A 12,440-nucleotide genomic window follows, 5' to 3' on the forward strand; every position below is an offset into this window, starting at 1 on the left:
TTTAATCAGAGGCCAGAAAAGGAGCCAAGAATGTGCAGGGAACACAGCCCCTCCTCAGAAAAGCTCCTGTACCATTGTAGCTCAGCTCCTGAAGCTCTCAGGATGTCACACCTCCTTGCTGACAGGGAGCCTGAGTGCTGTGCGAGGCCAGGAGCATTGCTGGAGAATCAGGGAAGTCATAGTTTGGAGAATGGTGTTCTTGGTGAAGAATGCCCTTCCAAGAAGAGACACAGAGACTGGGAACCACAGTTTACGTTTCAAAAATGGAAGTGGACAAGAGGGCCAGGACTGGCTGGTGGGTACCTGGACCCTCCAGCCATAGCCCTTCTGGTTGGAAGAGATCCAACTCTTCACCCAAATCTGTTTGACATTGGAAATATCTCACTGGTCTTTGCGAAGGCAAAGGTGTAGGGTGTCGAAGAGCAGAGGGAGTGGTTGGGGTGTCCTCTGGGGTGGGGGCTAAGGACAGCTGGAGGGAAGGGAGACCCATGCTAGATGATGGACGTTACCTCGTGTCCTTATTTCAAGCCTGTGGAGTGGGCAGTGGAGGTTATTCCTATTTTACAGATGAGAAAATGCTTAGTTTGGGGGATTAAGCACCAAATGACACAGGTGTTATTAGTCAGAGCTGGGATTCAAACTAAGCTCTGATACCTCTGGCCTTTCATTTCTCCACTGGCGGTTCTTCACTGACTTTGGATTAGAAAGGTGCCTCCAATCCAGGCCCATCCTGTTGGTAATTTAGTTTCTAAAGTGCCCTCCCAGAAGTGATCTTCTTTGAACCTGTCCTAGTCCATTTGGCCTCTCTAACAAGGTAACATAGAGTAAGTAGTTTAAACAACAGACATTTGCTCCTCATGGTTCTGGGAGCTGGGAATTCCATGGTCAGAGTATCAGGAGGTACTCATGCATCTGGGACCCCAAGCACAGCAGGAGGATCTCTTGAGACACACACACAAAAAAACGTTGCCAGGCACATGGCTCACACCTGTAATCCCAGCACTTTGGGAGGCTGAGGTGGGAGGATCACTTGAGACCAGCCTGGCCAACATGGTGAAACCCGTCTCTACTAAAAATACAAAAATTAGCTGGGCATGGTGGCACGCACCTGTAGTCCCAGCCACTTGGGAGGCTGAGGCCAGAGGATTGCTTGAACCTAGAAGGCAGAGGTTGCAGTGAGCCAAGATCGCGCCACTGCACTCCAGCCTGGGTGACAAAGTGAGACTCCATCTCAATTTTTTAAAAAGTACTCCTGGGTCTGTTGGCCTCTTTCCAGCCTCCCCAGGCAGCTTCTCTCCTTGCTGGTCTGTATTTTCCAGCTGCCCAGAAGCACTTGTGTCCCACCATGCTGTCACCTCCCTCATAGCACACACTTCTCTGTCCTCATGTGATGAACTCCCCTGTGTTTCAGAATGTCTTAGGAAACTTTGTGAAGGGCACATACTCAATGTCAAGAAGTCCTTGACAAGGATATGTGGTGACAGATGAAGCTGGGGACCAGGCCCAGCCAGTGGAACCTGGTCATGCCACTCTATCTGATCAGCTATGATTTCATTGGAAGAATCGAGGTTAGGGAGCACATGGCTGAGCACAGTCACTGTCAGAGAAAGGTCACTCTTCATCTCAGATGCTGCCTTTTTCTGAAGGCTTTTTATAGCCCACTTTTTTGGGGAGTGATTAAAGTAAGCTCTGACCTCTTTCCAGAATCATTCTAGTGCTTTGGTCACATTTCATGGGGAGAAATTAAGATCCTTTATTGTCTGTTATCTCTGTTTTCCTCCATGGCTCATTACCCATGGCAAACTGGTGCTTTCTTGAAATCATTAATGTGTATCCTGCTAGAGTATCAATAAAGGCCTTTGGGAAGACCTTAGGGGTATGCTTCAGCATGGGTGGGGCCATGGTTCATTGATGTTTGAATGTTTCTTCACAGTGAAACTTGTAGGGGAAAGCAAAGGAAACATGTTTGCTTGAGAATTTGGAGTTTGGCAGGGCAGTTCTCTAGATAGAAGTTGATTCACATCAAAAAGTGTTATTTCTTCTGGATGTCACCCTTGATGTGGCACCTTGGGAGCCGACATGCTTAGAGCATTTGAAGCGAATGGTCTTCTCTATGACCCAGCAACAGGGCTAAGAAGGCTACTCAGGTGCACAAGGAGAGGAACACGCTGTGTTCTGCAACCTCCTGGCATTAGCCTGGGTGCCCATCAGGAGGAGGATGAGTAAATAATAAGTGAACCAGAACTACATGAATAACATGAAAAACAAATCTCAAAAATACAAGGTTAGACAAAAAATGCCAAATTATATTGTATAGTTGAAAACTATTAGGCCAGGCACAGTGGCTAACGCCTGCAATCTCAGCACTTTGGGAGGCCGAGGCAGGCGGATCACTTGAGCCCAGGAGTTCAAGACCAGCCTAAGCAACATGGTGAAACCCCATCTCTACAAAAAAATAGAAAAAATTGGCTGGGCATGGTGACACATGCCTGTGGTCCCAGCTACTCAGGACACTGAGGTGGGAGGATCGCTTGAGCCAAAAGGTTGAAGCTGCAGTGAGCCATGATCATGCCATTGCACTCCAGCCTGGGCAGCAGAGTGAGACCCTGTCTCAAAGAAAAAAAAAAACAAAGGTTTGAAACAAGCAACACAATGTTTATATATATTGTCTTTGACTATAAACATGTAGTAAAAAATATAATGAAAAGCAAAGGAGTGATGAATACCAAATTTGAGAGAGTGGTTACCTCTGGGGATGGAAGAGAAATGAGACCTGGGAGTTGTTCACGAGGAATGTCAATGATTTATTTTTTTTCTTGAAATGGTTGGTGGTTATGTGAAGTTTAGAATATTACTTATGTTTTTTAGTGGTTGAAATACTTCATAATTTCAGTTTAGTGTTTTTGTTTGTTTGTTTTTTAAGGCAGGGTCTTGCTCTGTTGCCCAGGCTGAAGTGCAGTGGTACAATCACAGTTCACTGCAGCCTTGACCTCCTGGGCTCAAGTGATCCTCACACCTTAGCCTCCTAGGTAGCTGGGACTACAGGCACATGCCACTGTGCCCAGCTAATTTTTAAAAAAGAAAATGTTTTTATAGAGATAGGGTCTCGCTGTGTTGCCCAGGCTGATCGCAAACCCCTGGCATCAAGTGATCCTCCCACTTCAGCCTCCCAAAATGCTGAGATTACAAGTGTGAGCTACTACACCCAGCGTAGAATTTTTTTTTAAAAAGAGGAAGAACCGGCCAGTCATGGTGGCTCATGCCTGTAATCCTAGCACTTCGGGAGGCCAAGGCGGGTGGATCATTTGAGGTCAGGAGTTCAAGACCAGCCTGGCCAACATGGTGAAACCCTGTCTACTTGAAATACAGAAATTAGCTAGGTGGTAGTGGTGTGCACCTGTAATTCCAGCTACTCGGGAGGCTGAGGCAGGAGAATCGCTTGAGCCTGGGTTAGCCTGGCATTAGCCTGGGTGCCCATCAAGAGGATGATGAGTAAATAATAAGTGAACCAGGATGCAGAGGTTGTGGGGAGCCGAGATGGCGTCGCTGCACTGCAGTCTGGGTGAGAGAGTCAGACCCTGTCTCAAAGAAAAAAAAAAAAGGAAGAACCTTTCCTAATCAGTTCAATCAACAGTTTTAATTTTCACCTGTTACTAACTGGACTCCTCTGGGGCTGATGACCATGACATCTTGCTGTTCTCCCACCTCTTGCCCAGGTTCATCATGGCCACTTCATTATTCCTCAGTATTAGCACCAGTGAGAAATTAAGAGAAGGCACAAAACCCCTCGTTTTGCTACTTGATAGTCTGATGAGTGGAGAGTAGAAATAATGCACTAAAGGAAATCTTCACATTTTGAACATATCGTGTTCATTGATTGCAATGACAATAGCCAAGGTTAACTGAGACAAACTTGAATTTTGGTTAACCCATAAGAATCTCCTGCCAATCCAAAGGGGCAGGAGGGAGTGATCATCCGAAAGCCCCTGTGCAAACCTTGCTCTAGGCCCTCTGTCTCCCAAGGGAGTAGCATTGAGGACTTGTTCCGAAATCATTGTTCATTTTGCATTCACAGCATGGCCGGACTCCCCTGCATCTTGCTGCCAATAAGGGCCATCTTCCTGTGGTCCAGATCTTGCTGAAGGCTGGCTGCGACCTTGATGTCCAGGATGATGTGAGTAGAAGCCATCATTCTATCAGGCTGAGTTGGCAGGGGAGGTTTTCTGGCTAGAAATCCACAAAGTGTAAGCTGTGAGATGGGAGGGTAGTAGATGCTCTCGCAGCACATTTTAGCTGCATCTTGGTCTCTGTGGCAGCAAGAACTTCCTCTGGAAGACCTGCTCTGAGGCCCATTCTCAGTAGCAAGTTAGAGTTTGGGAGTGTGGGGTGGTTCTCCATCATGGTTCACTTCCTGTCTATTATTCAAGTGATCACTTCCTCTCTATTGTACAAAATGCCTCAAAGGGGATTTTTGCCTGTGTCCTGTCTCAGCATAAAGAGACACACACATGCACATTAGTGAGTATGGGCAAGACTTGCCGGAAATGTGTGTCAATGACCAAATTTACCATTGGAGAAAAAATGGGGATTAAAAACTTAATTTTTTTCTCATCTTAATTTCTCTTGGTCAGTGAATATGACATGGAAAATGATCTATTCAAGTTGGGGAGTTGGGGGAAGACACAGATCTCATGGAATCTAAGAAAAAGGAGGCCTCCAGAAAGAGTTTACTCTGCCACCATGCTATTATTGAGACATGGCCATCAACCAACTCAGCTCTGAGTCTATTCATTCAGGTTATCTAGAGATGGACTCTGATTGGCTCCTCTGGCATCAAGTGGCCAATCCTGAGTGAGTCAGCAGTGGCTGGGGTGGAGTCACGTAGTACAGTGGGCTGCCCTACTGGGTCTTTGGAGAAGGTGGTTCTCTAAGAAAGGACCATATAAATTGTCCTCCAACAGCTATTAGGAAAAGGTCTTTTGATAATACAGTTGAAAACTATTTTTAGAAATGGTTGCAACACTAATTCATGTAGTAGAACTCTAAGAAATAAGAACTTTTATGGGGAACACAGAATGTTGGAGTGTTTGCACTTATAACCTCTTCCAAATTCACCTTTAATAACTGTAGTTATAGAGTGTGATTCAAATTTCACATCTTCAGATATGCTACAGTGTGGTTTACTAAAGTGCTTCTAGTTTTCTTTGGGTCTGTGTATAATGTCATAAAACTTGGCAAACACACAGTAAGAAGGACAGTACTTGCAAAGAAATAACTATGACTGTTTTATGCATGGGCAGAAGGCCATCCAGTGTCTTTCATAAATCTCTGGTTATATCTGGAACTTGCTGGGTCATCAAAGATGTTATTTTCAAAAAATGTTGATTTAGCTTTAAGCCATTGATTTCTACCTTAGGTCATAATACTTTTTTATTTTCCTGCACTATGGTCATCATAACATTCTCAACTATATCATATCCTTAGATGACAGGAACAAAAATACAAGGAGAGAGAAAAGATTTTGGCCACAGAAAAGGTGGGGAATTGAGTTATTACTGGTGCAAACATGTTGGGATGCATTTGGTCTTCTCTTCGCATAATTAAAGGCTTTGCTTGCCACAGTGGCAAGGCCAAAATGCCAGGCATGCTAACCCATTCCAACTTGACACCCCTGCCTCACATCCTGGGCTCTAAGTATCACTGTGTTCTCATGCAGCAAAAGCCTTGCTAATTTCCTAGAACTGCTGCTGTTTATACCAGGCAAGGTAGGAAGTGAAACAGGCAAGAATTTTCTTAGGTAGCCAAAGTGAGACGTGTCAGCAGAAGAAAAGCCAGCTCTACTTTTAGACAGAGAGAGTCCCTTTTATTTATTGAAGGTATTTTCTTGCATCTTTTCCTTGTCCTAGAGAGACAATGCATATATTGCTTCTCCCAGATAAATTAAAATAAAAATACAACAACAAGAAATAATTGGGAGTGGAGAAGGTAGAATTGACCTTCACTAGTTCTGAAGAAATGCATTTGCCAGCAATATGATCCATGCCTGTTCTCTGTGTATTTACCATGCTGTTGATGACCAGCCTTGAAATACATGCAAGAAATCAAGGAAGAAAACTCTTGATGTGTGTCCTTTAAAGAATCTAGGAGATCAGTTATTTGAAAAAATCTCAGAAGTTACCTGTCTTGGATGGTGGGTAGAAACAGAGAATGTTAATGATATGAAGAATTTACTCCTAACTTCATATTCTACAGATACTGATCTTTATGGCATGGTAAGAACTGAGAATTAGTTGAAGAATGACCTCCAGTGGCCTGGAGTGGGATTATTATGAATTTCAACCTGTGGAAACCAGTTCTTTAGATTATGCAACTCCAGGAGCAAATTCTTTCTTGCTTCCTGCCAATCGTGTCAACTCTCATTGGAGCGCTAATGCCATCTCTGATTGGTCAATGAGCAATCACATAGCTCCCGCCTCAGAAATAGTCCAGGATGCTGTGGCCACAGTGAAAGCCATGAAAGAAGACAAAAATAAGAAAAACCACAGAGGGAAGGTTAGGAAGGACCCTAGAAGATCAGAGAGAGAAAAAGAGGTCAGCAACTTGCTTTACACACCTAACCTGTCTTGAGCTTCCTTGCAGTATGTCTGCCTGTGCCACATGGGGGTGTTTCCTCTTGAAGAGGCGCACACTGCACCCTTGCATGACTGAAATCTGCCAACACTACACTCACTCTTTTTCACCATGTAGGAAAGAAAAATAACAGTATTTCAAAACAAAGATTTAGACCTTATAGGCACCAAAGCTCTTAAAATCCCAAAGTGAGAAACACTGTCTCAGAAAAACTGAGAGCTGGCAGTTCACGTACTTCGCAAATGGGTCAACATGTTCCAAATCAAAGTGCCAAACTGCAAGGTTGCAGGCCCTTCAGGTTTCCAGCTACAGCATCTTTCCTTCTGCTTCTTGTAGTTAATCATTCAACAAATGCTTTTGGGGCAGCTCTAGTGGCTATGCTTTACTTTATGAAAGAGGCAGTCCCAACCCCACAGATGCATCTGACCTTTTCTGAGGCTCGTCCTAAGGTTAATGACTTCACAGGTTGGAAGCAGCTTGGGGTGAGTGCAAAGAGCCTTGACAATTTGATTTCTGGTCCAAGCATGCTGTCCTAGGCTTATCAATAAAATGAGAGAATTAGACATCAATAAAATGAGAGAATTAGACTTGGCACACAGTAGGGAGTCAATAAATATTCAGTCCGGGCCTGGTGGCTCACACCTGTAATCCCAGTGCTTTGCGTGGCTATGGAGGAAGGATTGCTTGAACCCAGGAGTTGGAGACCAGCCTGGGCAACATGGCAAAACTCCATCTCTACAAAAAATAAAAAAATTAGCTGGACATGGTGGCAAATGCCTGTGGTCCCAGCTACTCAGGAGGCTGAAGTGGGAAGATTGATTGAGCCTGGGAGGTGGAGGTTGCAGTGAGCTGAGATCATGCCACTGCACTCTAGCATAGGTGACAGAGTGAGACCCTGTCTCAAAATGAGTGGATGTTCACCAAATAGATAATTCAGTAAACACTGTTGAGAGTGCTCTACCTTTTCCCAGCATTTAAGAATTTCATGATTGACTTAGGTAGGTATCATATGCAAGTAAGAATTATGTCAAAGTAGCCACTTGTATGTATTGAGGCCACATCTTGTTTCTTCGTGTCATTTCAAGGAGGAAATGTTTCAATGGTAAATTTTAATCTTATAGGAGGAAAGAGTCCATTTGTAGATAACTGACCCTGTTTCAACTGAGGGCCTCAAGGTACTAAATTGTTTGTGTTGTATTCTAGGGAAGAATAGATCCAAGATGATAACCTGAGGCAGCTATTGTTTACATGTTTCATGTCTCTCACCTCAGAGCCTTTAATTCTCATCTTGGTTACTTGAGAAGGGTGGGTTTTTCAAAGCCTGAGAAAGCGTATTGCCCAGTCCTCCAGAACCATTCCAGCTAGTGTCAGCACAGCTAGCAGTACAGCCAAGGACAGCCACTTTTGGTAGGGAGAGTCCGAGCCTGGCCTGACAGCAGTGTTTATCTGACCCGGGCTCTCGGTGAGGTCTCTGTCTGAGAGGACGGCTGGAGGGGGAGCTGTGGCCTGGAAACAGGCAGGACAGCCAAAAGGTCCCCCAGAGGAAGGGGTGTGCAGGACCTTTGCCAGCAGCTTAGGACACTATGTGTTCTCGCCGCAACCTCACACAAGTCATTAGATTTCCTTGAGTCTTGCTAGTCTGGAAATGTCCTCCCAAGGTCTGAACTGAAAGTTAGATTGAGCTGCTTGCATTGAGCTAGAGTTTCACAAAGGAAAATTTTCTCAAAGGAAGCAAATACAGTAGATTGATGATGAAAGCAAGTAATAAATAACTTGGTGCCATTCCGGCTCCAAAGATACCTCAACTCATAATTTAGAGGGCAGCTTGTGAAACATGACAAAAAATATTTGACCTAAACCAAGGCTTAGGTTAGTCTGTGCCGTACCATCCAGTGAAGGCCCTTCGTGAAATAATTTGTACAGCAAGAGTGGCTAACACGACCCATATGCTCAGGGCTTGTTGCTCATACTTCATGAACAATACAGAGTGATAAGCTTTGTCCTGGAAAAAGTTGTTTTTATTGGTCCAAAGAGCACTAGAGTGTAAGTAGTTTGTGGTTATATTAAAAAGCCTGTAAGAAGTGGAAATCTAACCAAGTCAGCACTACCCTGAAAGCGTGAGCTGCAGTCGCGTGGTTCTTGCTAAGAAGGGCACTGTCTTTCTTAGCAGGTCAGTAATCATCATTGCACTGGAGGCCTATTTTGGGAAATTCCGTCACCATTCTGATAGAGAAATGGGAAGTCTTGGAAATCTTACGGAAATTTTAAAAAGTTGAGACGTGGGGCCAGGCACGGTGGCTCGCGCCTGTAATCCCAACACTTTGGGAGGTGGAGGTGGGCAGATCACTTGAGGCCAGGAGTTCAAGTCCAGCCTGGCCAACATGGTGACACCTTATGTCTACTAAAAATATAAAAAAAAAATTAGGCATGGTGGCAAGTGTCTGTAATCCCAGCTACTCTGGAGGCTGAGGCAGAAGAATCGCTTGAACCTGGGAGGCAGAGGTTGCAGTGAACCAAGATGGCACCACTGCACTCCAGCCTGGGCGACAGGGCGAGACTCTGTCTCTAAACAAAAACAAAAAGTTGAGACTTGGGCAGTATCTCATATGATTACTAGTTTCCTTGTCTAGAACTGCTTTCTAAGAGGTCTGAGGTAGACAGCGCAAATGGCACAGCCTACCTCCTGCAGCCACTGACCCAGCGGCCACATTCTTTTTTTAACCACTGCAAGGGTTCTCTTTGAATAAGGGGTCTGGGAAGGTGGATGAGAAGAAAATCAGCCTGAACCTAACTGATAACAGGAATAATAGTTTAGGATGCTGAAGGGGGGAGGTCGGTGGTGGCAGTGCTGAGGACAGTGATCTGTCCTCAGTGTCCTGACCCCCCCTCACTGCAGAAATTCCTTACCTTCCACAAATGAACAGTGGGAAGAGAGTCTGTGACAGGGACAGTCCTGTTACTGGGGTATTGTTTCTGCTCAGACTTCTAATAAGTAGCGGTTTTTCCTGATGCTAAAAGTTATCCGTGTTAAATATAAAAAGCTGGAAAATATTAAAAAGTATAAAAAGTTAAAAGAGAAAAATCCTTTCATGGATTTTTAAAGGGAGACTTTTTAATTTTAAGAAAGCAATTTTGAGTTTTAACTAGGATTTTTTATTGTAATAAAATATACATAGCATTAAATTTACTGTCTGAACATATTTACGTATACGGTTCAGTGGCATTAAGTACACTCACATTGTTGTGCAACCATCACCACCATCTATCTTTAGAACTTTGTTTCAGATTACATGTTTTTAATGTGCATTGTTTGTTACAGATCTGGGGAGTTTAGTAAGTAGAATCAGTATTTCGTTAAGGTTGTTTATAGGTAGCAGTGCATCCTTCTTTTAAAAAATCTGTTTTATCTTATGATGGCCTCTGTCCTCTTTTGGGCCAAGCACCAGGGACGCCCCAGAATGTTTTCTTTGCCCCTCTGGTGCTCTGCCAGGAAACTTCACAAAACTCTGACCAGCCACATCATAGAATCCAAGAAGGCAATGGAGGGACCCTGGGATCATCCAGGGTGACACACCTGAGGTCCAGCAGGGTGACAGGCTTCTAGCAAGCCATGCACAGCCCAGGCCTCCTGACCCCTTGTCTCGTGCTCATTGCTTTCCACCAGAACATTTCCACACTGCCCACCCATCCTCCCTTTCAAGGCTGGACCACAGGCTCAGCTTGATTTACCTCAACTTAGCTTCCTGAGGACCTGTCAGAGATAAAGGGTGCTCTTAGAGACTTCAGAACTCTCCTGTTACAGTCTTGACCTGCTTACCTCTGGGAGTGTTTCATCCTTCACTCAACTGCAATTAGGAAGAGTCAAGTTCCCTTTGGCGCCTAAAGGAGAACAACGGCCGGCAATCCCAGGAATCCGATCATAGAGAAGAGGGCTCAGAGTGCAGCATAAATCAGTGAGGATGTTGTCATGAACTCTCTGAAGAGGCTTCTTAGAAATATGCAGTGATAGCTGCAGTCCCTGGAGTCCTCAGATGAAATAGGGCAAACCCCTGCATTGCCGTTGACTAGTACAGGTCAATGAACAAATGACCCGCCTGTCATCAAATCATGAGTGCTGCTAACTGGCAGAGCTGGACAGTGGTCCCCCTGCAAGCTGGAAACTCGGCAGGCAGTAGAGATTCCAGGCATTGCTGCTTTAATTGCATAGCACACACCTGCCCTCACACCCACTCTTCACACCTGTGATAGTCATAGCCCCTGGATGGCAGGAGAGAGCCTGACCCTCATTTTGAGGTTGGCTCTGTGGCCGAGGGCTATTCTTGCTGTCGGCTTAAGGTCCCCCTCTTAGTTTATGAACAAAATTTCTCTGCCAGCGTGCGTTGTCTACTAACAAGACCACAAAGCCCGCCTTGCCTGTGGTAACCAAGCCCTTCTGCGAATAACCGCTCTGCTCTGTGTGGGGACGGGAGGGGTCCTTGTGTCCAAGTGTCAAGTGAGTAGTGCAAGCAGGGGGTGCAGGGGAGCTGACTGCTGTTCCTGCCTTTGTGTCACTTTGCAGGGGGACCAGACCGCCTTGCACCGGGCCACAGTGGTGGGGAACACGGAGATCATCGCGGCGCTCATCCACGAAGGGTGTGCCCTGGACAGACAAGACAAGGTGAGTGGACACTGAGCTTCCTTACTCCCCAAGGCAAGGGAAGCCAGTGGCTCAGGGGAGCTGGAGGAGCCCGCTCTGGAAACTTTTGAGTCCTCGAGGTATTATAATTCCTGTCTTACCACTTATGATTTAACATGATTAAATCAGCCTAAAATTCCTTTGAAACACTATCTGGTATCCCAGCCAATTGTAATTTTTTTTTTTTTTTTTTTTTTTGGAGAGAGGGTCTCACTCTGTTGCCCAGGCTGGAGTGCAATGGCATGATCATAGCTCACTGCACCTGGAACTCCTGGGCTCAAGTGCTCCTCCCACCTCATCCTCCCAAAATGCTGGCATGAGCCATTGTGCCCAGCTGCCAATTGTATTTTTTAAAAATCTTTTTCCTTGTTCTATGGCACCAGTGACAACCACATAAATCTTAAATGGTAAAGAAAAAAATCTAGAAATAAGGACCTATGTAGGCCTGGGTCGGGGGGGTAAGGGATGTGCCCCAGACTTTCTCTTTACTTTCTTAGATAAGTGAGCAAGTTAATTTCTTTAAACTATATTGCAGGGAAAAAAAAGTAAGCTCAACTGGGCCAAACACAGTGGCTCACGCCTGTAATCCTAGCACTTTGGGAGGCTAAGGTGGGAGGATTGCTCGAGGCCAGGACTTCAAGACCAGCCTAGTCAACATAACAAACCACTGTCTCCACAAAAAATTTGAAAATTAAGAAAATATATATTAGCAAGGCGTGGTAGTGTACACACCTGTAGTCCCAGCTACTCAGGAAGCTGAGATGGGAGGATTGCTAAGCCCAGGAGGTTGAAGCTGCAGTGAGCCATGACTGCATCACTGCATTCCAGCCTGGACGACAGAGTGAGACCTTGTCTCTTAACAAATAAATAAATAAGATTGATAGATAGATAGCAAAATTGGCCAGGCGCAGTGGTTCATGCCTATAATCCCAACACTTTGGGAGGCCAAGGCGGGCAGATCACCTGAGGTCAGGAGTTCGAGACCAGCCTGGCTAACATGGTGAAACCCCGTTTCTACTAAAAATACAAAAAATTAGCAGGGCATGGTGGCGCATGCCTGTAAACTCAGCTACTTGGGAGGCTGAGGCAGGAGAATCGCTTGAACCCGGGAGGTGGAGGTTGCAGTGAGCTGAGA

At 45.2% G+C, this 12,440-nt stretch overlaps 1 protein-coding gene across 50 annotated transcripts in view; it reads left to right on the forward strand.

The window, feature by feature from the left end:
* The window catches only part of ANKRD6 (ankyrin repeat domain 6), a 200,683-nt gene that overhangs the window by 158,689 nt on the left and 29,554 nt on the right, over window positions 1-12,440 (forward strand). For 32 of the 50 annotated variants that reach the window (XM_047418408.1, XM_047418410.1, XM_047418412.1 and 29 more), the window contains 2 exons: window positions 4,076-4,174; window positions 11,189-11,287. Coding sequence is in view for 45 of the 50 variants with exons in the window: in NM_001242809.2 (NP_001229738.1) it covers window positions 4,076-4,174; window positions 11,189-11,287 (198 nt within the window). In the remaining 5 variants the exon portion in view is untranslated. Of the gene's footprint in view, window positions 1-4,075; window positions 4,175-6,252; window positions 6,592-11,188; window positions 11,288-12,440 lie in introns of those variants that run through there. The other 18 variants (XM_005248679.4, XM_047418397.1, XM_017010493.2 and 15 more) reach the window with 2 other exon arrangements.

Source organism: Homo sapiens, chromosome 6 (genome assembly GCF_000001405.40).
Source record: "Homo sapiens chromosome 6, GRCh38.p14 Primary Assembly".
Classification (NCBI taxonomy): Eukaryota; Metazoa; Chordata; class Mammalia; order Primates; family Hominidae; genus Homo; species Homo sapiens.